This window comes from Homo sapiens, chromosome 7, assembly GCF_000001405.40.
Source record: "Homo sapiens chromosome 7, GRCh38.p14 Primary Assembly".
In the NCBI taxonomy this organism is placed as follows: Eukaryota; Metazoa; Chordata; class Mammalia; order Primates; family Hominidae; genus Homo; species Homo sapiens.
This window is the reverse complement of record NC_000007.14, coordinates 17,549,567-17,577,143: the sequence shown is the minus strand read 5'-3', so window position 1 is coordinate 17,577,143 and position 27,577 is coordinate 17,549,567. Positions and strand designations below refer to the sequence as shown.

General features: G+C 37.8%; 1 long non-coding RNA gene across 1 annotated transcript in view; it reads left to right on the top strand.

Annotated features, from left to right (window-relative positions):
• The first annotated feature begins 18,234 nt into the window (after nt 1-18,234).
• LINC02889 (long intergenic non-protein coding RNA 2889) overlaps nt 18,235-27,577 on the top strand; it is a 95,465-nt gene continuing 86,122 nt past the window's right edge. The window contains exon 1 of the long non-coding RNA NR_110013.1: nt 18,235-18,392. This is a non-coding gene — a long non-coding RNA (long intergenic non-protein coding RNA 2889). The remainder of the gene's footprint in view (nt 18,393-27,577) is intronic.

The following is a 27,577-nucleotide window of genomic DNA, read 5'->3' as shown; positions in this document are numbered from 1 at the left end:
TCATTCTTTTTTCTCTAACCTTGCTGCCTGCCTTATTTCAGCAAGATAGTCTTCAGTCTCTGAAATTCTTTCTTCCATTTGGTCTATTTGGCTATTGATACTTGTGGTTGCACCATGAAGTTCTTGTGTTTTGTTTGTCAGCTCCATTGGGTTGGTTATGTTCCTCTCTAAACTGGTTATTCTGGGTAACAGCTCCTTTACTGCTTTATCATGGTTCTTAGCTTCTGTGCATTGGGTTAGAACATACCCTTTTAGTTCAGTGAAGTTTGTTTACCTACCTTCTGATGTTTATTTTTGTCAATTTATTCATCTCAGTCTCAGCCTAGTTCTGTGCCCTTGCTTGAGAAGTATTGAAATCATTTGGAGGAGAAGAGGTACTCGAGCTTTTTGAGTTTTCAGTGTTTTTGCGTTCTTTCTTATCTTTGTGGGTTTATCTACCTTCGATCTTTGAGGCTGCTGACCATTGGACAGGGTTTTTGTAGGGTCTTTTTTGTTGATGTTGTTGTGGTTGCTTTCTGTTTGTTTTTCTTTAAACAGTCAGGCCCCTCTTCCACAGGGCAGCTGTGGTTTACTGGGTGACCACTCCAGACCCAATTTACTTGAGTTCCTCCCATACCTGGAGGTATCAGTGAAGGCTGCAGAACAGCAAAGATTGCTGCTTGCTCTTCCCTCTGGGAGTTCTGTCTCAGAGGGGCACCAAGCTGATGCCAGCTGGAACACTCTTGTATGAGGTGTCTAGCGACCCCCATTGGGAGGTCTCACCCAGTCAGGAGGCACAGGATCAGGGACCGTCTGGCTGCCCATTGGCTGAGCAGGTTTGGCTGTGTTGGAGAGAATCCCCCCTTGTCTGGACTGCCAGCAGGCGTGTCTTCTGTCAGAATCCATGAAACTGGTGAGGGGTGGGGAGCTAACTTGTCAGTTTGCTGGTAGTATAAAATCCCAGAACTGTCATAGCTCTTTACAAATACATGTCAACTGTGAGATCCACTGAACTGTGAAACCATGTCTGCCCCTTCCCCCAGGGGCTCCTTCCCAGGGATATCAAAGTTCCGTCTGTAAACCCCTAGCTGGAGTTGTTGCAATTTCTGCATGGAGGCCCTGCCTGGTGAGGAGGGATGGATCTGGGTCCCACCTAAAGAAACAGCCTGGCCACAATCTGCCACAGCCACTGTGCCGTACTATTGGGAATTCCTCTCAGTCCAAACCACCCAGTCTCCCCAACACCAGCAGGGGGAAAATGGCGACTGGAGGTGCAGTGATGGCAGCCACCCCTCCTCACAGGAACATGGTCATCTTAGGCTGTGTCTAGCCTGCTGCTGCTAGCTGCAACTCGAGCAGATTGCACAGCTCTCTGTTTGGGACCCAAGGCTCTGGTGGCATAGGCTTACAAGGGGATCTTCTGATCCATGGGATTTACAGATCCATGGAAAAAGTGTGGTTTCCCAGGTGGGGTAGCATAGTCACTCACCACCTCCCTTGGCTTGGTGTGGGAGCTCCCCTTATCCCCTGCAGCTCTCAGGTCATTGCTCCACTCTGCTTTTCCTCTCTTTGTGTGGGTCAACCACCTAGTCAGTCTCATTGACAGAACCTGGATACCTCAGTTGATGGAGCAGGATTCACTCACCATTTTCTTTCTTCTCAGTGGGAGCTGTAGACAGAAGCTGCTTCTAATTGACCATCTAGGCCCTTCCCCCAACCTTGTAAATATTTTAAGTTTATCCCTAAATACTTGGTAATTTCTGGTGCTACTGTAAATGCTTTGTTTTAAATTTAAATTTCCAATTATTCATTGTTAGCATATAGAAATACAGTAGATTATAAAATGTTGATTCTGCATTTTACAAACTTGTTAAACTCACTAATTATAATGGAGTGTTTTTTTTGGGGGGGGGGGTATATTCCACAGATTTTTCTACATAGACTATCATATATTCTGGGAATAAAAAGAGGGATAATTTGTTTTCCCAATTCATATATATTTGATTTTCTTTCTTACATATGTACTGGATAGGACCTCCACAATAGTGTAGAATGGAAATGGGCTTGTTCTTGAACTTAGGAGGAAAGCACTCCATCTATAACCATTTAGCATGAAGTTAGCAGTAGGTTTTTCATAGATGCCCTTTCTTAGTATCAGGGAGTCCCCTTCTATTCCTAGTTTGCAGATAAATTTTTATCACAATTGGTTGTTGAATTTTGTGGAGGGGCTTTTCTATATATGTTATTTAAATGGTATTTTTATATGGCATTTCCTTTTGTAGGCTCTGGAATTCATGAACTATATTGATTAATTTATGAATGTAAGACCTTGTGTTTCAGAGTAAAGCCAATGTGGCAGTGATAATTTTTTTATGCATAGTTAGTTTCAGTTGGCTAAACTTTTAAGGAATTTTGTGTCTCTTGTGGGAAATATTGGTCTTTTTTTATTGGATGACTTTATGTAGTTTTGGTATTAGGGTAATGATATTCTCATAGAATGAATGGGGACATGTCCCCTCTTATTTTCTGGAAGAGTTGCAGTATATATAACATTATTTCTTAAGTGTTTGGTAGAATTCATAAGTGAAGCCAAATGAGTTAGGACTTTTCTTTGTGAGAAGTTTTGAAACCATTAATTTATTTTCCTTAGTAAATACAGGACTATTTAGATTACTTTTTTCTTTTTCAGTGAGCTTTGGTAGATCATGTATTTTAAGGGATTTAAATATTTCATCAAGTGTCCAAAATTATTGACATAAAGTTCATCACTTTCCCTTATTATTTTAACATCTGTAGGTTATGTAGTGATATTTCCTCTTTCCTGATTATGGTTATTTGTGTTTCTCTATCTCCTCCTTTCTCTGTCTTTTGATTTTTCTGGACAGACTTTATCAGCTTGTTTGAAATTTTCAAGGAACCAACCTTTGGTTTTATTGCTTCTTTATTATTTTACTGTTTATTATTTTGATCTTTATTATTTTCATAATTCTGCCTATTGGGAGTTTAATTTGTTCATCTTTTTAGTTTCTAAAAATAATTAGAAGGAAGATTAGATCATTGATTTGAAATCTTCTTTTATCTATAAGTGCTGTAAATTTTCCTCTAAACACTGCTTTAGTTGAATCTCATAAATTTTGATATGTTGTGCTTGCATTTTTATTAAATTCAAAATATTTTACAATTTCCTTTGATTTCTTTGACCTTTGGATTTCTTGGAAATTACAAAAAAGATAGGAATTTCAAATGTTTTTCTGTTGTGTATTTCTAATTTAATTCAGTTTTGGTCAGAGAATATATTTTGTTCTTTTCATCTTATTGGAACCTGTTTTATAGCCCAGAATCTGGTGTATCTTAGTAAATGTTCTATATGCACTTTAATAGAACATGTATCTTGATAATGTTGGTAGAGTCTTTTAGAAATGTCATTTAAGCAAACTTGTTGGTGCTATTCAGGTCTTTCATATCCATACTGATCTTTCTTTTTTGGTCCAATTTTTCTATCATTGAGAGGGGGGTTTAGAAATTTTCAACTATAATTATGGATTTGTCTTTCACTTCTTTTAGTTGTATCAGGTTTTGCTTTATTTACTTTGAAGCAAAATATTACTTTAGTAATATTGTTTACTTTGAAATCTACTTAATCTGATATTAATTTAAACACTCCAACTTTGTTTTGATTAGTGATAACATGGCATATCTTTTACCATCTTTTTACATTTTATCTATTAGTCTCTTTATATTTAAAGTGGGGTTGTTGTATCCAGCATTTAGGTGGGTCTTGCTTTTAAAATTTTAATCCAATCTGATCATCTTTCCCTTTTTAATTGTAGAGTTAGACAATTTACATTTAATGGATTATCAATATGCGTGGGTTTAAATAGGTCTTGCTATTTTTTTCTGTTCCATTGGTTCTCTGTTCTTTTTTCTTATCTTTTGAATTAAATAATTTATTTCATTTTATCTACATTATAGGCTTATCAATTATACTATTTTTTTTTTTTTGAGATGGAGTTTTGCTCCTGTTGCCCAGGTTGGAATGCAATGGTGTGGTCTTGGCTCACTGCAAACTCTACCTCCTGGGTTCAAGCGATTATCCTGCCTCAGCCTCCCAAGTAGCTGGGATTACAGACATGCATCACCATGCTTGGCTAATTTTCGTATTTTTCAGTAGAGAAGGGGTTTTGCCATGTTGTTCAGGCTGGTCTTGAACTCCTGACTTCAGGTGATCTACCCACCTTGGACTCCGAGGTGCTGGGATTACAGGCATGAGCCACCACGCCCAGCCACCTTATCAAGTATACTATTTTTTTTTTTTTTTTTTTGAGACGGAGTCTCGCTCTGTCGCCCAGGCCGGACTGCAGACTGCAGTGGCGCAATCTCGGCTCACTGCAAGCTCCACTTCCCGGGTTCACGCCATTCTCCTGCCTCAGCCTCCCGAGTAGCTGGGACTACAGGCGCCCGCCACCGCGCCCAGCTAGTTTTTTGTATTTTTAGTAGAGACGGGGTTTCACCTTTGTTAGCCAGGATGGTCTCGATCTCCTGACCTCATGATCCACCCGCCTCGGCCTCCCAAAGTGCTGGGATTACAGGCGTGAGCCACCGCGCCCGGCCTCAAGTATACTATTTTTAATGGTTGTTCTAGGGTATAAAATTGTATCTTTAATCCAGCACAGTCTATTTTCAAACATTGTACCATTTCATATATAGTATAAGGATTTTACGACAAATACTTTCGTTTCCCCTTTGCTAGCCTTTGTGCACCAATGTATTTTGTTTCTGCATGTGGTCTAAATCACATAATATAGTGTTTTGAATTTTGATTTAACCAACTTATTTTCTTTTAAAGGGTTTTCAAAAATTTCAAAAGCTTTCATGTTTACGTATTATTTCCAGTGTTCTTCATGCTTAATTATACATCAAAATTTTCCTCTGGAATTAGTTTCCTTCTTTCCACAAGGCTATTCTAAGTATTTCTTGCAGTGCATGTCTGCTGGCAATGAATTACATCTGTTTGTGTTTATCAAGTCATTATTTCACCTTCTTTTTTTTTTGGTAGAGATTTTTGCTAGGTGTGGAATTCTAGGTTAGGTTTATTTTTATCCTTTCCACTGTCTTCTGGCTTTCAATGTTTCTGACCAGAAGTTTTATGTAATTCTTATCTTTGTTCCTTAATATATAATGTATCCTTTTTCTTTGATTATTTTAAAGGGTTTTTAAAAAATGATTTTTAGTGATTTAATTATGTGATTTTTGCTATACTCTTCAGCTTTTAACTCTTGAAATTAGATTTGTGACTTTTTATCTTTTATCAAAATATTTTTATCAAATCTTTTAATTTGCTTCATCTTTCCTCATTTCCTCTCACTTTCTACTTCTCTGCATAGGGATGTTAAATGAGAATGTGTGACAGTACCTTTGGCCTTTTTAAGAAGGCTGGTATTGTGAGAGGGAAAATTCAACTTGAAAACTATACTTTGCCAAGGTGGCTCCAAGATGGCCAAATAGGAACGGCTCCAGTCTACAGCTCCCAGCATGAGCAACACAGAAGATGGGTGATTTCTGCATTTCCAACTGAGGTACCGGGTTCATTTCACTGGGGCTTGTTGGACAGTGGGTGCAGGACAGTGGGTGCAGTGCACCAAGCATGAGCTGAAGCAGGGCGAGGCATCGCCTCACCAGGGAAGCACAAGGGGTCAGGGAATTCCCTTTCCTAGCCAAGGGAAGCTGTGACAGATGGCACCTGGAAAATCGGGTCACTCCCACCCTAATACTGCACTTTTCCAATGGACTTAGAAAACTGCACACCAGGAGATTATATCCTGCACCTGGCTCAGAGGGTCCCATGCCCACAGAGCCTTGCTCATTGCTAGCACAGCATTCTGAGATCCAACTGCAAGGCAGCAGCAAGGCTGGGGGAGGGGCGCCTGCCATTGCTGAGGCTTGAATAGGTAAACAAAGTGGCCAAGAAGCTCGAACTTGGTGGAGACCACCGCAGCTCAAGGAGGCCTACCTGCCTTTGTAGACTCCACCTCTGGGGGCTGGGCATAGCTGAACAAAAGGTGGCAGAAACCTCTGCAGACTTAAATGTCCATGTCTGACAGCTCTGAAGAGAGTAGTGGTTCTCCCAGCACGGGGTTTGAGATCTGACAGCGGACAGACTGCCTCCTCAAGTGGGTCCCTGACCCCCGAGTAGCCTAACTGGGAGGCATCCCCCAGTAGGGGCAGACTGACACCTCACATGGCCAGGTACCCTCTGAGATGAAACTTCCAGAGGAACGATGGGGCAGCAACATTTGCTGTTTAGCAATACCTGCTGTTCGGCAGCCTCCACTGCTGATACCCAGGCAAATAGGGTCTGGAGTGGACCTCTAGCAAACTCCAACAGACCTGCAGCTGAGGGTCCTGATTGTTAGAAGGAAAACTAACAAACAGAAAGGACAACCACACCAAAACCCCATCTGTACGTCACTATCATCAAAGACGAAAGGTAGATAAAACCACAAAGTTGGGGAAAAAAATAGAGCAGAAAAGCTGAAAATTCTAAAAATCAGAGTGCCTCTCCCCCTCCAAAGGAACGCAGCTCCTCACCAGCAACAGAACAAAGATGGATGGAGAATGACTTTGGCGAGTTGAGAGAAGAAGTCTTCAGACGATCAAACTTCTCCAGGCTAAAGGAGGAAGTTTGAACCCATTGCAAAGAAGCTAAAAACCTTGAAAAAAGATTAGACGAATGGCTAACTAGAATAACCAGTGTAGAGAATGACCTGATGCAGTTGAAACCCTGATGGAGTTGAAAACCATGGCACAAGAACTACGTGACGAATGCACAAGCTTCAGTAGCCGATTTGATCAACTGGAAGAAAGAGTATCAGTGACTGAAGATCAAATGAATGAAATGAAGCAAGAAGAGAAGTTTAGAGAAAAAAGAGTAAGAAGCAATAAAGACTCCAAGAAATATGGGACTGTGTGAAAAGACCAAATCTACATCTGATTAGTATACCTGAAAGTGACAGGGAGAATGGAACCAAGTTGGAAAACACTCTGCAGGATATTATGCAGGAGAACTTCCCCAACTTAGCAAGGCAGGCCAACATTCAAATTCAAGAAATACAGAGAATGCAACAAAGATACTCCTCAAGAAGAGCAACTCCAAGACACATAATTGTCAGATTCACCAAAGTTGAAATGAAGGAAAAAATGTTAAGGGCAGCCAGAGAGAAAGGTTGGGATACTCACAAAGGGAAGCCCATCAGACTAACAGCGGATCTCTTGGCAGAAACTCTACAAGCCAGAAGAGAGTGGGGGCCAATATTCAACATTCTTAAAGAACAGAATTTTCAACCCAGAATTTCATATCCAGCCAAAGTAAGCTTCATAAGTGAAGGAGAAATAAAATACTTTACAGACAAGCAAATGCTGAGAGATTTTGTCACCACCAGGCCTGCCCTAAAAGAGCTCCTGAAGGAAGCACTAAACATGGAAAGGAACAACCAGTACCAGCCACTGCAAAAACATGCCAAATTGTAAAGACCATCGATGCTAGGAAGAAACTGCATCACTAATGAGCAAAGTAACCAGTTAACATCATAATGACAGGATCAAATTCACAAGTAACAATATTACCTTTAAATGTAAATGGGCTAAATGCTCCAATTAAAAGACACAGACTGGCAAATTGGATAAAGAGTCAAGACCCATCAGTGTGCTGTATTCAGGAGACCCATCTCACATGCAGAGACACACATAGGCTCAAAATAAAGGGATGGAGGAAGATCTACCAAGCAAGTGCAAAACAAAAAAAGGCAGGGGTTACAATCCTAGTCTCTGATAAAACAGTCTTTAAACCAACAAAGATTAAAAGAGACAAAGAAGGCCATTACATAATGGTAAAGGGATCAATTCAACAAGAAGAGCTACCTATCCTAAATATATATGCACCCAATACAGGAGCACCCAGATTCATAAAGCAAGCCCCTAGAGACCTACAAAGAGACTTAGACTCCCACTCAATAATAATGGGAGACTTTAACACCCCACTGTCAACATTAGACAGATCAACAAGACAGAACGTTAACAAGGATATCCAGGACTTGAACTCAGCTCCACACCAAGTGGACCTAATAGACATCTACAGAACTCTCCACCCCAAATCAAAAGAATATATATTCTTAGCACCACATAGCACTTATTCCGAAATTGACCACATAGTTGGAAGTAAAGCACTCCTCAGCAAATGTAAAAGAACAGAAATTATAACAAATTCTCTCTCAGACCACAGTGCAATCAAACTAGAACTCAGGATTAAGAAACTCACTCAAAACCGCTCAACTACATGGAAACTGAACAACCTGCTCCTGAATGACTGCTGGGTACGTAACAAAATGAAGGCAGAAATAAAGATGTTCTTTGAAACCAGTGAGAACAAAGACACAACATACCAGAGTCTCCGGGACACATTCAAAGCAGTGTGTAGAGGGAAATTTATAGCACTAAATGCCCACAAGAGAAAGCAGGAAAGACCTAAAGTTGACACCCTAACATCACAATTAAAAGAACTAGAGAAGCAAGAGCAAACACATTCAAAAGCTAGCAGAAGCCAAGAAATAACTAAGACCAGAGCAGAAATGAAGGCGACAGAGACACAAAAAACCCTTCAAAAAAATCAATGAGTCCAGGAGCTGGTTTTTTGAAAAAATCAACAAAATTGGTAGACTGCTAGCAAGACTAATAAAGAAGAAAAGAGAGACGAATCAAATAGATGCAATAAAAAATGATAAAGGGGATATCACCACTGATCCCACAGAAATACAAACTACCATCAGAGAATACTATAAACACCTCTGCGCAAATAAACTAGAAAATCTAGAAGAAATGGATAAATTCCTCGACACATACACCTTCCCAAGTCTAAACCAGGAAGAAGTTGAATCTCTGAATAGACCAATAACAGGCTCTGAAATTGAGGCAATAATTAATAGCCTACCAACCAAAAAAAATCCAGGACCATACGAATTCACAGCCGAATTGTACCAGAGGTACAAGGAGGAGCTGATACCATTCCTTCTGAAACTATTCCAATCAATAGAAAAAGAGGGAATCCTCCCTAACTCATTTTATGAGGCTAGCATCATCCTGATACCAAAGCCGGGCAGAGACACAACAAAAAAAAGAGAATTTTAGACCAATATCCATGATGAACATTGATGCAAAAATCCTCAATAAAATACTGGCAAACTGAATCCAGCAGCACATCAAAAAGCTTATCCATCATGATCAAGTGGGCTTCATCCCTGGGATGCAAGGCTGGTTCAACAGATGCAAATTAAGAAACATAATGCAGCATATAAACAGAACCAAAGACAAAAACCACATGATTATCTCAATAGATGCAGAAAAGTCCTTTGACAAAATTCAGCAGGCCTACATGCTAAAAACTCTTCATAAATTAGGTATTGATGGGACGTATCTCAAAATCATAAGAGCTATTTATGACAGACCCACAGCCAATATCATACGGAATGGAATATCGTGAAAATGGCCATACTGCCCAAGGTAATTTATAGATTCAATGCCATCCCCATCAAGCTACCAATGACTCTCTTCACAGGATTGGAAAAAATTACTTTACAGTTCATATGGAATCAAAAAAGAGCCCACATTGCCAAGTCAATCCTAAGCCAAAAGAACAAAGCTGGAGGCATCACGCTACCTGACTTCAAACTATACTACAAGGCTACAGTAACCAAAACAGCATGGTACTGGTACCAAAACAGAGATATAGATCAATGGAACACAACAGAGCCCTCAGAAATAATACCACACATCTACAACCATCTGATCTTTGACAAACCTGACAAAAACAAGAAATGGGGAAAGGATTCCCTATTTAATAAATGGTGCTGGGAAAACTGGCTAGCCATATGTAGAAAGCTGAAACTGGACCCTTTTCTTATACCTTATGCAAAAATTAATTCCAGATGGATTAAATACTTACATGTTAGACCTAAAACCATGAAAATCCTAGAAGAAAACCTAGGCAATACCATTCAGGACATAGGCATGGGCAAGGACTTCATGTCGAAAACACCAAAAGCAATGGCAACAAAAGCCAAAATTGATAAATGGGATCTAATTAAACTAAAGAGCTTCTGCACAGCAAAAGAAACTACCATTAGAGTGAACAGGCAACCTACAGAATGGGAGAAAAAATTTGCAGTCTACTCATCTGACAAAGGGCTAATATCCAGAATTTACAAAGAACTCAAACAAATTTACAAGAAAAAAACAACTCATCAACGTGTGGGCAAAGGGTGTGAACAGACACTTCTCAAAAGAAGACATTGATGCAGCCAACAGACACATGAAAAAATGCTCATCATCACTGGCCATCGGAGAAATGCAAATCAAAACCACAATGAGATACCATCTCACACCAGTTAGAATGGCAATCATTAAAAAGCCAGGAAACAACAGATGCTGGAGAGGATGTGGAGAAATAGGAACACTTTTACACTGTTGGTGGGACTGTAAACTAGTTCAACCATTGTGGAAGTCAGTGTGGTGATTCCTCAAGGATCTAGAATTAGAAATACCATTTGACCCAGCCATCCCATTACTGGGTATATACCCAAAGGATTGTAAATCATGCTGCTATAAAGACACATGCACACGTATGTTTATTGCGGCACTATTCACAATAGCAAAGACTTGGAACCAACCCAAATGTCCATCAATGATAGACTGGATTAAGAAAATGAGGCACATATACACCATGGAATACTATGCAGCCATAAAAAAGGATGAGTTCATGTCCTTTGTAGGGACATGGATGAAGCTGGAAACCATCATTCTGAGCAAACTATCTCAAGGACAAAAAACCAAACACCATATGTTCTCACTCATAGGTGGGAACTGAACAATGAGAACACTTGGACACAGGGCGGGGAACATCACACACCGGGGCTTGTTGTTGGGTGAGGGGAGTGGGGAGGGATAGCATTAGGAGATATAACTAATGTAAATGACGAGTTAATGGGTGTAGCACACCAACATAGCACCTGTATACATATGTAACAAACCTGCACATTGTGCACATGTACCCTAGAACTTAAAGTATAATAAAAAAAGAAAAATAAAACTATACTTTGCCTTTTTATGACATTGATAGTAAAGTAGATTAAGTAATATTAATTATAGACTCCTAGAAAGTAGGTAGTATACATTTCCTTTCTCAACACAGGACATACTAGAAAATTGCTTTTATAAGTGATCTCTTTGGCTTTTCTGTTTTTCCAATTAATTGGTTATAACCATACCACTTAAATCTTATCTTTCTGAGCACCATGAAAATGCTCATGATTGTAATACTTTTCATAAGCACATGTCTAAAAATGGTTTGTATTTGTATGTTTTTTAGAATATGATGTTTTAAAAATATTTTATGCAGATATCTTTGTGGTTTTTTTATGGATAAACTGTCATATACCATAGTCTTATTGTTTTCTTGTGGATTAATGCAGACTGGACAGATTGAGACTCTGGGTACATTTTTTAGAATAGTTTAAACATATTATATAACATATTGAAACTGTAGAATATTTTTCCAGAACTTTAAGGAAATTTATAATTTTACTGCTTGGCTCTTTGTCCATCAGATTGTTACTTGGTTAAATGACTTTTGATTAAACAAAATACTAAGGCTAATAACCTTGTGTTTCATCCAAGTAAAAATATAAGGATGAGATGTTTTATGTGCTCTAAAATAAGCTAGTTATTTTATTGTCTGGCTGATAGTACCCTGTTATGTAGAGGACTACTTGTTATATTTAAATTGGTAACTGGGTATTTGTGGAGTGTATGAAATAAAAAATGTTTTAATAGCACTGATATGTATAGTACTTTAAAATTTCTTGGTAACTTCCTCAACATCTTATGAGATAAACAGGAGGAAATTACTATTGTGTCAATTTGGTAGCCAGGGCATTAACAATTTAGGTAAATTTCCAGGTCTGTACAAGGAGTCAGGATTAGAATAGCCTTCAGGTTTTGAAGGCAAATGCATTCTTCAAATCCGGGCTTCTGATGAGTCACAGTGGTGAGGAAGAAGCCCCTTTTAAGAGATCCTTACTCTCTGCTATTTCTGTGGGTAGCACTGTTTTGGTTTATTTGAAACCAACTTCCTCATAAATCGTTAAGTTGGAAAGGATATGTGGTCAGTTTATTATTCTTAAAACATATGCAAAGGCATTTGTCTAGTCGTGGAAATAAAGTATATTAGAAGCATCTCTTGTGCAATCTGTACTCTATTGCTCATATTAATTGCTTTCCTACACATTTAAAACTAGGTTTCAAGTGGATGGAATTATTCAGAAAGTTGAGTATATATTATTTGGCTATGTAAATATGCATATATACACATATATTCACATATATTTGAGAGGGAGAGGGAAAGAGTCTGTTTATATGGCCATAACTAAGGTAGTTGGAGGTAGTAGAAATAGTTGTTTTTAGTGTCAGGAATTAGGAAGAAAAATAAGGGCAACAGTGAAAGTGAGCTTGAAATGTCTTTCCTAATGATTGACTTGTTATAAAAGATTATTTCTCATTGACAGAAAAAAAAAGTTATCATTTTATTTTATTTTTTATTTTTATTTTTTGTCCAGTAGTTATTCTTTCTTTTACTTGCATTCTTTGTGTAACCTTGGCCAGGACACACCCTAAATTCTCTCCAACTCTTTTTCTTTTTTTCTTTTACTTTAAATTCTGGGATACATGTACAGAATGTGCAGGTGTGTTACATAGGTATGCATATGCCATGGTGTTTTGCTGCACCTTTTGATCCATCCTCTAAATTCCCTCCCCTCATCCCCCACCCTCCAACAGACCCTGGTGGTGTGTTGTTCCCCTCTCTGTGTCCATGTGTTCTTATTGTTCAAATCCCACTATGAGTGAGAAGATGCAGTGCTTGGTTTTCCATTCCTGTGTTAGTTTGCTGAGGATGATGGCTTCTACCTTCATCCATGTCCCTGCAAAGGACATTATCTCATCCCTTTTTATGGCTGCATAATATTTCATGGTGTATATGTATCACATTTTCTTTATCCAGTCTATTATTGATGGGCATTTGGGTTGGTTCCATGTCTTTGCTGTGTAAATAATGATGCAATAAACATACATGTGCATATGTCTGTATAGTAGAATGATTTATATTCCTTTGGGTATATACCCAGTAATGGGATTGCTGGGTCAAATGATATTTCTGGTTCTAGATGCTTGAGGAATTGCCATAATGTCTTCCACAATGGTTGAACTAATTTACATTCTCACCAACAGTGTAAAAGTGTTCCTATTTCTCCATGGCCTTGCCAGCATCTATTGTTTCTTGACTTTTTAATAATCACCATTCTGACTGGCATGAGATGGTATCGCATTGTGGTTTCTGATTTGCATTTCTCTAATGATTGGTGGTGTTGAGCTTTTTTTTCATGTTTGTTGGCCACGTAAATGTCGTCTTTTGAGAAGTGTCTTCATATCCTTTGCCCACTTTTTGATGAGGTTGTTTGCTTTTTTCTTGTAAATTTGTTTAAGTTCCTTGTAAATTCTGGATTTTTGTCTGATGAGTAGATTGCAAACATTTTCTCCCATTCTGTAGGTTTCCTGTTCACTCTGATGATAGTTTGTTTCGCTGTGCAGAAGAAGCTCTTTGGTTTAATTAGATCCCATTTGTCAATTTCAGCTTTCTTTACAATTGCTTTTAGTATTTTAGAGATGAAGTCTTTCCCCATGCCTATGTCCTGAATGGTATTGCCTAGGTTTTCTTCTAGGGTTTTTATGGTTTGGGGTTTTACACTTGTCTTTAATCCATCTTGAGTTAATTTTTGCATAAGGTGTAAGGAAAGGGTCCAGTTTCTGTTTTCTGCATATGGCTAGCCTGTTTTCCCAGTACCATTTATTGAGTAGAAGAGCCTTTCCGCATTGCTTTTGTCAGGTTTGTCAAAGATGAGATAGTTGTAGATGTGTGGTGTTATTTCTGGGGTCTGTTCTGTTCCGTTGGTCTATGGGTCTGTTTTGGTACCAGTACCATGCTGCTTTGGTTACTGTAGCCTTGTAGTATAGTTTGAAGTCAGGTAGCGTGATGCCTCCAGCTTTATTCTTTTTGCTTAGGATTGTCTTGGCTCTACAGGGTCTTCTTTGATCCCATATGAAATTTATTTATTCTATATTTCCATAAGTTATTGGGGTACAGGTTGTATTTAGTTACATGAGTAAGTTCTTTAGTGGTGATTTGTGAGAAAATACATGCTTTAAAATCTCTTTCAGACATGGGGATTATGATTTTCTCCTAAGTAGTTTACTTTTCTCATATAATAGGAAGTCCAGAGTAGGTGTTTGCTGGCATTGATTTAGCTCCCTGATGCTTCCATCAAAGATCCAGGATCTTTTTATCTTTTAGTCCAATTGTCCTTGTTTTGTTGTCTTTTATCCTTAGGATTGCTGCCTATGGTCACAAGATAGCTTCTGAAACTTCAGTTAATTACAGGATGCCTCATTAAGCAGGAAGCTGGAGGGAATGGGCTATGCCTCTTGTGCCTATCTCCTTTTGTCAGGAAAGCACAATGACAGAAGCCTACCAGGAGACTTCCCTGTACTTCTCATAGCCAGGACTGGACCACATAACTATACCTGGCTGCAAGGGAGACTGGGAAATAAGGAACAAAATTATGACTTGGTCAGTCTAGTCATACTCTATCACCTGTGCCAGGGCACATTGCTACCCCAAGGAATGAAGTGTGAGGGTAAATATTGGCAACAACTAGCAGCATCAGTCTCATAGGGTCGTAGATATATCCTTCTCTACTATGATCTAAGTAGTGCTCTTCTATATAATAGTATAATCCATGCATTCACTAAAAGAGAATTACTTTGTACTCTAAAATTCTTTACAAATGTCAAAAGATGCTGTGTGAAGTATCTTAGTATTTTTATTTATTGATTCTGTGTCTTTTATGTTTGTGGGGGAAAATTCAACTGATTTGTCAAAGATTTGATTACAGATACAGAATACAGTAGAATTATAAACCACCCCTCAAAATTTGTAAATAGGAATTATCATAAAACTTTCATGAAAGCAAAAGATATTTCCAAATTTAAGGTGTGTAGTGTGTTGCACAGGAAATATTGTTGCTCTCACTTTCTTGATTCTATAGCATTTGATAGTGAGCAGATACCAAAGTTTGATTCATATGTCCATGTTTCATCATTCAATCAAGATGTTGAAGTTCATATTTAAAAACAATCTTAATAAATATCTAGTAAACACTTTGTTTCAGGAATCATGCTAGCATACTTGCATGTATATGTACATATGCAAGTTAAAGTCTTCCTTCTCACAACAACAAATTTCTCAGTAACATAGGGTAGGATGTATAAAAAGTCTAAAGCACTAAGTTTGGGGTTTTATTTTGTTTCCAAGACTTGCAACTTGAGTCTTGATATGAAGTAGGAGCCTCTAAATATGGGGTAGCTGGTCTTTTTTAAATAGAATAAAATCAACAAACATAAAATCAAAACGTGCTGTTTTTCTAACTTAGGGATATAGAGACGCAGCAAATATTAGGTAACAATATTTTCCTACTTTTGAGCCAATTGTTTTGGCATCCTGAAAACATAATTTAAGTTACATAGTCAAAAGAAGTAATGCTGTTACATGTGGAAGATATATTCACATACAATTTACATTTCAGTGTACATTCTAAAGACATATGAATCAAAAATGATTGAAGGAAAATAAAGTATCTAGGTTCACAGATATTTATTTTGAAACCATGATCGTCAGGCCTCCATGATAAAGCATGTGCCTAAAAGGTGTTCTGGCTTTCACTTTGGAGATTTGGAAACAGTCTCAGGGACCAGTAACTTGCCCAAATTCTTGCAGGTTTCATAGCCATGACAGCTCTGGCAACCCTAAGGGTCTAAGGGATAAGATTTCTAAATCCACTTCATACAACTAACAGTGGTGCTCAACCATGACTCACATTAGAATCACCTGGAAAGCTTTTTTAAAAATACTAGTGCCTGGCCTCTACCCTATAGCAATGAATCCAAATTTTTGGTATTGGGGTCCAGGCATTGATTTTTTTTTTCTTTTTAAATAAAAACACTCAAAAAGCCAAAAATTTCCTCAGGTAATTTTATTACGCAGTGTAGGTTGAGAAACACTGATTATGCCATAGACCTGAGAATATGATTAATTGGGTTGTTGAATCAGGGTGATCCATAGCTAATGGGTTCTCAAACATTCAGTTCATGTGGTATTTCATGACCTGAAAGCAAATGCAGACAAGTTTTTTGTGTCTTATTTGAAATGCTGTTGTCAGACAGTATCATCTTTTCCAGCTATTCTTCTCTTTTCATTTTCAGGTGACTCATGCGGAAGAGTGTGCTTGCTTCATGTTGCAACTTAGTCCTTCACATGGTTGTCCCAATGCCCCATTTACCTTTGTGGCCATTGGCACAGCCTGGAAGTTTAGAACAATGCAAGTCATCTTGACATCTAAAACGTGATTTCTGGTAATGCCTTAGGAAGTAGTTTCAGGTTAATTTGTATTTCCAAACCGCCTCGGACTCCTTCCTGAAACAGATTAAAAACTGCGTATTGGCAAAGAGTGAGGGGAACTAGGTGAGGGGGATTGGGCTAACACTGGCTCCTTGTGATTAGTCCTGATTTAAATGCTGGAAATGACAATGGAGTTTGTTTATGGCTTTTCTCACCCTGAAGATATCTTTACAGGAATATTTATTTGAACACTAACTGGGTAAAGATTTACAGGGGCTCAAACAATTCTTTTTCAAGGAGCTGAGGGCCTAATTTTTATCATACACATCAATACATTTTTTTCCTTACAGGAAATGTGTGGGTGTCTGGGCTTTTAAAAATTGTATATCATACTCTTCTTTCTTGCCTCAATGTTGCTTTGATAAAATGATTTACTTGAATCTTAAACTGATTATTTACCAGCTATAGGACTTGGGAAAAATTGCTTAACTCCTATGAGACTGGGCACAATCATCTCTGAAGCAAAGACAGGGTTATCTGTGGCTTATTGTGGTTGCAGAAATTAAAGAGATAATTTTCAAAAAGCACCTAGTACAAAGTCTGGGTTAGGTAGTTCTCCAATAAACATAATTTATCCTCTCTTCCTTCCTCTTCCGTCAAACAGAATATATTCTCCAGAAGAACCTGATATAAGTGGTGTGTACATAAATGAGAATTTGTCATTTTTTAATTTCCTCGAGTATTCTGTAAGAGTAGACTTTAATAATACAGTTTTATAATACAGTAATACAGTTATAATGTTTGCCATGTGCTTTACTATGAGAGTTGTTGATTGGATGGCTTGTCTTCTTTGGTAGAATTCAGTATCAGTGAGTGGAAAGGTTATTTTTGCATGTGGTTGGTCAGGCAACAGAGAAGTCACTCCATACAAGCAGCTTTCTACTCTGCATACAAGGTAGATCCAGTGGAAGTCACGTTGAGTGATGTGTTTGTGCAAACAGCAGTTAATGACCATGTAGGATATCCCATCATCAGAGCTCTATCCCAGCTGACTCAGAGTAGGATTAATCATGAAAGCCTGGATTTAGATGTGTGTCTGAAGATACATGTGTGCTGGGAAAGAAATTAGGCTGGACTTTTATAAAAATTGTTACAAAGAAGCAACAATAATTAGAATAGAAAAAATGGCCTTCAGCCATTTAGTGTCCTGGTAGACATGAACCAACACAGCCCACTTCAGGCTGGCAGATGTGAGAGAATCTGTGGAAGGGAGGCTTGAACCGTCTTGAAAATATTTCCCAAAGCCTCTGCTGCTGGGATACTGGTCAGAAGTGCCCCAAGTCTGTTTATCTGGAGACATGGAACGCTTTATTCAAGGACCTGTGGAGAGAAGGCAGACAAGACTGTAGAGTCTGCACTCTCATCCTCTTGAGGGCACACCTTATTTACAAAAGGAGATTTAGATTACTTGATCCCATAAATCTTGGCATAGAGAAACTCAAAGCAAATATTTATTCTACAAGGATGGGTTAGCAGTGTTAAGGTACTGAAATTTACCTTGTACAACTTTAAAGAAGTTTATTGAGTTGTTAATGGAATAGCATTACCTATGATTAACTAATGTTGAGAAACTGTTGGCAGGTTCCTGGTAAATATTTAACAACACTTATGAATCAGACAACAGAAATGGAATAAAATTCCAAAAAAGCTGTAGTTTTTTCATTTGGCTTGAAGTCAGTATAGAGAAGTTATTTAAAATAAGATTTTCGTCCCACGGAATTGTCCCCTTTGTTATTGTATATCCTTCAGGTTTATGGGACAGCACTAGAGGAAAGTGACAGCCTCAGAGGACCTTCAGGTAAGCTGGCTCCATTTTGGTGACATACATATAGAGGCATAAATACCTGGTTTTTACTGAGAATACCCTGGATAATTATTAAATTGGATTTGGACTAAGGAAGAAAAGGTCTTCTTGCTTTTCATTTTCTCTCTCCACATGAATGTATGTATGTGTGTGTATGTATGTATGTTTTTATAAAAATATTTGAAACTTTGAGCTCCTGAAATCCTAGACTTGGCTTCCTTGAACATGATTGTTTTCTGTTGAAAATTCTTTTCATGCCAATTCTATCTGACTAGTTTCAACTCTTCGATAACCAGGAGTCTGTAATAGATGATGTCATAGGGGTCTAGAATATTGGCATCTGACTTCAAACAAGAGATCAAAACTAATTTCGAGACAAGTTCCAAGTGTGTTCGCTAACTGCTATAAAGAGCACTAAACATTCATGATTCATTTAACTGTGTCTACACCACATAGAATGAGTGGAGACTTGCTACTTTTCTAGTCATTTATTATCCACCTATGCTGACAGATCCCATTAATCAGACTAGTTGGTTAATTGACAGATCTCCATTTTGCTTTTTGTTTATAGATAGTTCTGGTGTATAGATGCCAAACGTGGTATTCTATCATTGTGCACGATTCTTAAGATGACTTTTGGCCAGTCTAAACACTGCCTAGGAGTTGTTTATCATGCTTGATTTACTACTCCTCCTGAAGCATGTATACTATTAATTTCTGCTTGAGAATTTCCAACAAAGCAAACATTTACACAAAGAGGGTGATTCCCTTCTGGCTGTAGGGATGGATCAAGACAGTGGTACCAAAATAGATATGACTGTGTCCAAGTTCCTGAGACTTTAATCACATTTAATCACTGTACAAGTTGTGCTGGGAGGAAGGAAGATGTGGTGTCTCTCTGTGGCTGCACAATATATCTTGTCAACTCTTCAGCGAAGCTACGTACATGGCTGCAATAAAAGGGCTACCGTGTGTGTGTGTGTGTGTGTGTGTGTGTGTGTGTGTGTGTGTTTGTATTTTTCCAACTTCATTTACCAGTTTTTAGTAGAAAGCCGTATTTTGTGTATTTAAAAACACTGAGAATTGGGCAAGGCAAAAAAAAAAAAAAAGATGTTAGGATAAAGGAAAATTTCCCACAGGAATTACCAAGAATTTATCCCACAGAGGAAGTCCTTCTCAATTGCTTCTTGCTCATGGAAATATTTTCACCTGCCTTGCCAAGGCCTTGATACTGATATCTGGAAGGTATTAAGCAATCCAGAAAGTTTATTCATCAACTTTGATTCATCTTAATAAGAGAGCTTAGAAATCAAAGTTATTTCCCTCCTTCCTGCAAAAAGTTCAGGATTTGTAATGCTAAATGGCTTGCTCCCTACTTAGAGCAAATACTTTAGTCAAATTTGATATATTGACTCATAACCCACACATTAGAGCCAAACATGTCCTGTTATGAAAAATTAAGACTCTCTCGACACACAACTTGGCTCTGAATTTGAACCCAATAAACAGTTTTTGTTTAAATGCTCCATTTGAAAAGTAAATTAAAATACATTAGAATAAGTGTTTCTGATTCTCAAAGATATCACTGGATCCAGGGCAAAAAATCCTGCACATGTTGGGCTTCCTCTCTGAAATCAATGCCCTTCCTTAGGGCTTCTGAACCAATGGATATGAATTTGAGGCTGGGGTAATGGCTGTGGTTGTTGCAAAAAAAGAAGAGAAGGGAATTGAGTCTGTCTTACAGAGGCAGATCCTGGTCTAGTATGAAGAGCATCATTGATGCTTTGAATTGAACCTGAACTCTAACACCTCAGAAACTGCCACAGTTCTAACCATTAGAACCAAAAGATAATTGCCCAGATGGATGCACTGTGCATGATCTGCAATCATAGCCTTTTGATAACTATAAATCAGCAATACTAAAAATACTGCTTTTTTTAACCAAAATATTTGAGATCCAAGGAAGAGCAGACTAGCAGCTAACTCCTAATAAAGGCAGGCTTCAAAGAAGTTACCCAATCAGACAATATGTTGCCCAGTTTTCTGCAAGAAAAAAGGTCTCTCAAACTTAAAAGCAGAGTTTTTTTCCACTGAAATCAAGAGAATCCTTTAGGTTATGGGGACATGATATTAATTATTTGGGGAACTTTAGATCTTGGCTATTTTTAGACTTACTTTTTCTGTATCTTTAAAAAAGTTTTCTAAATAGAGATGCTTTCATTTCTTGTAAATGTCAAAGCCACACTGCAGCTGTCTGCCGTGTCCTCAGAGGTGCTTGCTCCCTGCTCACTTTCCCTGCAAGGTCAAGTTGACCTTTGAGTGCTAAAGCCAAGGGAAAGCAGGCCCTGGTTAGAAGCAGCTAGACTGTTACTGGCAAAGTTACCATATGGCAGCAGGCTCTGCTTAGCATGGAGAAGAAATAGGAAATCATGGATTGTAGAAATGAGTTTGAAGCCCATGGAATCTGGGAATCAATTGTATATTCATTGAGTAACTCAATGTTGTTTTCAGCACGAGTACCTACTATGTGCCACACACAATTCCACACTGTTTCTTACTGCCTTTGGCCTCATAGACTGTTATGCCTTGTGTCCTTCCTTTACCGCTACTAGCAGCAGCATGGCCTAATGGAAAGTAAGAGGGGTTCAAATAAGAGCCCCAAATTCATATTTGAGCACTGACCTTCACTTGTATGACCTTTGGCTACTTAAATTACCTGAACCTGAGATTCCCGATTTATAACACAGGAATACAAACATTGCCTATATTCAAAACCATTGATATGCTTAGTTAATTTTAGCTAATGATTTTTTTCTGGAGTTTTTAGACATGAGAAAAATATTTAAGGGACATGGCAGCGGTAAAGAAGAAATAAACAGATGTAAGTTTGGAAAATAGTATTTGTGAGGGGAAACCAGAGGCCAGATATGGCACAGGCAGTTTATGAACCAAGGTGGGTGGGTTGGGTTGCCTGGGAAAGGATTTTAGAGGCATACTGCTAAATGAGTCAGTTATATCCAGAACTGGTGTCCAGTCCTTTCTGCCCTGACCCAACTTTATGTGGTTTGATTGATAATAAAGCAGTCATTTTGATCCTATTTACCAGAACCACCTGTAGCAAAACAGAGCCCATCCTTTGTGCATGAGGTAGAGTAGGCCTGTACTCTTGGTGAGAGGACAAGTGGTTTGAGTAGAATCATTGTTCTGCTCTGAGCTGGGAGATTTCTATCTAAGGCCCGTGGCACCTGAATTAAAGTTGGGAAGTATGCAGCAAGGTACTCTTGAGCATCACCTTTTCTTTTTGCCAAGGCTGCGTGAGTGTTCATAAAACCGAGAAACAGGGTTAGATGGGCAGACTCTTGGAAGGAGATCAATAAATGCCTGTTTTTCTTTTGCTAAATGCTTCCTTTGGCAATTTTTATCTTTTCATGTGCTATAATGCATCTTGATTTATTCTGAAAAAGTGAACATAGTCTACTTAGCTGGCCAGAGGTCCAGCTGCGAATAAACAGTAGCAATGTGTCAAGTCAGAGCAGTTGGCTAAAGCCAAGCAAGCACGAAGGTACCTGAGATGCACAGAGGCGGGTGAGGTGCAGAGTCTAAGGTCAGATAATCAGTAAGTGCTTGCTTTATAGATGGGGCTGAATTGTGATCTCACCAAAGAATCTGTGCTCTGCCGCTTTATGTAGCCTTTTGGGGTGGGAGTTTAGGTGCAGCTTGCCACCAGATAGACATCTACAGGTACAATTTACCCCTGATCAAGAAACACTAAAATTGTTTCATGTTGGCAGGCCAGGAGGGAGTGGAGATGATGGGATAGGAGGTAGACTGAATGAAGAGGAAGAGTGCATAAAGTGTGTAATCCTCATAGAGGAAATTGAAAGTTGATTGTGTCCAGATGGTTCTTCGACGGTTGGTTTATTCCGACAGTGATAGCAGCCAACTGCAAGAGTGACTTCCTCTATTGTGTGAGCCGGATTGAGTACTAGTTCACAAGTGGAAGGGTTGAGCTTAGATGGAAACATATTCATCTGAAGGAATAGTGGGGAAGGTGGGGTACACAGTAAACGTGCAGTTAGGTGGGTAGACCACTGGATGGAGAATGAGGACATTCTCTTACTGCTTCTATTTTTCATGAAATGAGAAATGAGGCTATCAGCTGACAGTGAGAAGGTGGAAGAGTTGTTGGAGGTATGACTGGAGAGTGAGTCGCAGAAGGATCAAGGTTACTGGAGGTGAGGTGATGATCATGAGACGTAAAGGCTGAGATAGGGGAAGGATTTTCTACAGGGATATGAAGAACTGTGAAAACACTGGTGTTGAAGGGACAGAGGGAGCCACAAGCTAAACTCTTCAAGAAATGCCCCATGAGATGGATGTCAGTAGGTGACCACAACAGGGAGGGGTATTGGGTACTATGATGTCAGAGGTTACTTTCAAATTGCTAGAAGTTTCTATTGATATGAGAAGAACAATGATTTGGAAGGAGCAATAAGCACAAGAAAGACAACTATTGAAACTGCTGGCCTTGTGGCACAGAGATTTGAGAGAGAAAATAGCAACCCCATGAGACGACTAAGGCTATAAGAGAAGCAGTGTCCTCAAAGGAACTCAGCTTTCAGATACAGCAAGATGGTCAAGAGAGCATTTACATAAAATGTTTAGGATACCTGTGGATTTTGCTGATGACAGATTGGGAGTACCAGAGAACAAAGAGGAGTAAGAAAGATCAGAGTTGGCTGGGAAAGTAGGTCAAGTCAGGAGACAGACAAAGCCATATGGAAATGACCATGTGGGTGCTGATGATTGATCTTGGGTCTTAGGAGATAAAAAGATCTTATGAGCATATTTTTTTTTTGTAGCCAGGGAATGTGGGGGCTATGATATTTAGCCTCATCATCATCATCATTATTAGACTGGATCAGTACTTATTGCTTTGGATAGAGCCTATACGAGATTTGTTCTGTTAGTGTAGGTTCTATCTCTCAGACCATGTTTATTCCTATTGATCCATTAGACTTGAAAAAAATCTCAGAGGCATCTAGTTTATTCCTATGTGTTTTTTGGTCAGTTCTATTACGGTATAATTTATATATAAAATTCACCCTTTTTAGTGTATTTTTTCATGTGTTTTGACAAATGTGTACCGCACCAAATCAAGATCTAGAACAGTTTCAAAAGCCCCCCCAGATCACTCTTACCTACCTTCAGTGCCTGGCCACCACTGATCTGCCTTTTATTCCTATAATTTTGCCTTTTCTAGAATGACAATTAAATGGAATCGTACAGTATGAGGCCTTTTGGGTCTGGATTCTGTCACCACAATACAGTTGAAATTCATTTTTCTCATCTGTATTACAAATTTGTTTTTCTGGCTGAATTTTATCTGTATTCCATTGTATGGATAAACACAGTGTATTTATGAATTCACCAGCTGAAGGACATTTGGGCTTTTACTAGTTTTTAGTGATTGTGAGTAAAGACCACTGTAAACATTCAGTTTTTGTGGGGACAGAAGTTTTCATTTTTCTTGGGTAAGAGTCATGAAGCAAGATTTTTAGATTTGTGTGGTTAAGTATATACTTAATTCCTAGGAAACTGCCAAACAACTTTTCAAAGTGGCTGTGTCATTTCACATGACCACCCGCAATGCCTGAGAACTTCAGTTGTTCCACATCCTTGCCATGTTGTCTGTTTTTTCCTTTTTTCCTTTTTTTTTTCAATTTTTAATCAATGAGTGGGGTAGTGGTATCAGATTATGGTTTTAGTTGACATTTTCCTAATGACTAAATACTGAACATTCTTTCGTGTGCTTATTTTCCATTTGTATATCTTCTTTGGTGAAATGTCTGTTCAGTTTTTTGGCCTACTTTAAAAATTATCTTCTTACCTTTTCGAGAGTTCTTTACATATTCTAGATACAGATTCTTTATCTGACATGCCTTTAAAAACATTCTCCAGATCTTATTTTGCATAGCAGAAACTTTAGCGTGGATTTATTTTTGGGCTTTCTGTTCTGTTCCATTGGTCATGGGGCTGTGTTCGTGTATGCAGTCGGGTCCACAATCAGTGGGCCTGTAACTACTGGAGGGTATGGGTGGGTGTGACCCCTCTGTACTGGGTGGGTGGGTCACCCTCTGGGACTGCGTGAAAAGGAGCTGATGGTGGGTGATGGGTTACTGCTTCTGATTGTGGAGCTGCATCAAGCGGTTGGCCTGCTACCCCAGGGCACAGGCCTGCCTTGTCAAAGCAGCTTTCCATGGCCTTGGGCTCCACCAGGCTGTCACAACCCCCCACCTAGATCCTGAAGCTCCTAAAACTTTTATCCGCAGATGGTTGAGAAATCAGTGCTTCTGGGATGAGAATTGGGCTGATGGCTGTTCTGCCATCCTGTTGATGTCATTCTCTGACATGTCTTTCAGTAATACCTTATTTAGGTCAATTGGTTGTATTTATTTTCTTAACAATATATTTGGAAGAGTAGAAGTTTTATATTTTGATAAATCTAATTTCTAAATTTTTAAAAAATGGAACATGCTTTTGGTTTTGTATCTAGCAAATCACTGCCTAATCTAAGATCACAAATGTTTTCTCCTAGGTATTTTATAAAGATTTACATTTAAGTCTATGATCCATTTAATGTTAATTTTTGTTTATAATACAAGATAAGAGTGGAAGGATTTTTTTTTTAATTTTTGCATGTTGATATCCAATTTTTCCAGTGCCATCTGTTGAAAAAACTATTCCTGCATGCTCATATTTCCTTTGCACCTTTGGCAAAAAAACTAACTGACCATATTTGTTTTGGTAAAATACTGTTTTGTTCCATTGATTTATGATTCTATTCTATGTTAATACCATACTTTCTTGATTACTGCTTTATAGAAAATCTTGAAATCAGGCAGTATGGGCTTCACTTTTTTCTTTTTCAATTTTTTTGGGGGCTATTCTAATTCCCTTGTCTTTAATTTTATTTAATAAACAGGCATGCAAATTAAAAAAAATAAAATTACTTTTTAAATTATTTAACTTCAATAAAAGGGAAGAAGTTCCCTTTTATTTCTAGTTGGCAGAGAGTTTTTAGTATTATGGTTGTTGAGTTATATGATTTCTCTGCATTTATCAAGATAATTCATGTGGTTTTCCTTTTAAGACTGTTCATACAGTAAATTATGTTGATTTCCCCCCCCAATATTGAACAGCTTTGTATTCCTGGTTTCAACCCACTTGGTTGTGATGTATTATCTTTTGTATACAGTGCTTGATTCAATTTTCTAAGATTTTATTGAGAATTTTTGCCTCTATGTTGATAAAGAATTTTGGTCTGTAGTTTTCTATTCACTACAATTCTTTCATCTAGGTTTGGTATCATGGTAATGCTGGTCTCACAAAATGAGTCGGAAAGTGTTTGCCCCTCTTCTTGTTTTTCAAGATTTTATAGGTAATTCATATTTCTTCCTTAAGTTATTGGTAGAGTTTGCTATGAATACAACTTGTCCTGGAATTTTCCTTGTTGGAAAGTTTATTTCGATTTCTTTGAGATAGACAGTTGTTTACATTATGTATTTCTCCTTGAGTAAGCTTTGGTAATTAGTATTTTTCAAGAAATATGTTCATCCCTTCTGAGTTGTTGAAATATTGGTGTTTGTAATTGTATCTGCTCTCCCTCTCTTTTTTTCTGTAATTCTGCTTAGAGGTTTATCAGTTTTTCCCAGCTTTTGGCTAAATTGATTTTTTTCTCCATTTTTCTCTTTAAAAAATTTTACTGGTTTTTCTGTTCTCATCTTTCTTATTTCCTTCCTTCTGCTTGTTTTGGGTTTAATTTGCTCCTTTTTTTGTTTTTGTTATGATGTAAGTTTAGATAATTGATTTAAGCCCTTTCTTTTCCTTTTTTCCCATTTTTATCTTTTTGGAAAATTAATGTATCATAGTTGTACATATTTTGAGGGTCCTTTCTTCTCTTCAGTATATTTAAGGCTATACTTTTTCCTTGACTCACTGATTTTGCTGTTTTCCACAAATCTTTTTACACTGTATTCTTACTTTATTTCAAAGAAAAATATTTTCTAATTTCCTTTTTGACTCTTTAATTCATGAGTTACATATAATTCTGCTGCTTAATTTCCAAATAAGTGAGAATTTCTAATATGTTTTTGTTATCCATTTCTAGATTAACTTTTTTTAGTATAATAGAATACAGTTTGTATGATTTTACATACAAAGATTTGAGATTGATACAAAGGTTGAGATTTGCTTCATGGTCCAGAATGAGACCTGTCTTGTTGAATGTTCCTTGTGCAAAAGAATGGGTGCTGTTTGGTGGTTTTTGTAAATACCAGTGAGCTCACAGAAGTTGGTTGCTAGTTTTGCTAAGGTTCTACAGACTTATTGGTTCTCTTTCTATTTGTTTTATTACAGAAAAAGGAAGAGAAAAGTATTTAAGTTTCCAACCGTAATGTTGGATTTGTCCATTTCTACTTCTAGGTCTCCTCTTTCATTTTGCTTGTCATATCTTTGTCATTAGGCACCCCTGCCTTTGCATTGTTAAGTCTTCTTTGTGTATTGACCCGTTTGACATTATATAATATCACTTTTTCCCTAAAAATATTCCTTGTTCTGAAATCCACGTTATGTGACATTAATGTAGTCACTGCAACTTTTTTTTGGATTAGTGTTTTTGCATAGTATATCTTTCCCCATATACTTATTTTTACCTTTTTGTCATTAGAATTAAAATGAGCTTATTGTCAATTGAATGCATTTGCATCTTGTTCTTTTTCTTTTTAAATCTATCTTTATTTTATAATTAGTTTGTATTGACCATTTCAATATAATTGTAATATAATTACCATTATGGTTGGATTAAAACATACAATCTTGCTGTTTTCTACTCTATCTTCTCTTTTTCTTTTATTATATATTGAATTAAGTATTTTTCATTTCCATTTTATTTCCACTATTGACTTATTATTTGTTTCATTATATTATTTCCACTATTGGCTTTCTAAAATGTTTTTCATCTCATTGGCTAGCATTTGCCATATATATATCTCTAATTAATTTCAGTCTACATTCATGTAGTCTACCTCTTCGTGAATAGTGTAAGAACTTTACAACAGTATATTTCCAACTCCACCTCCCAGACTTTGAGCTCATGTTGCTATAGATTTTACTTTTAT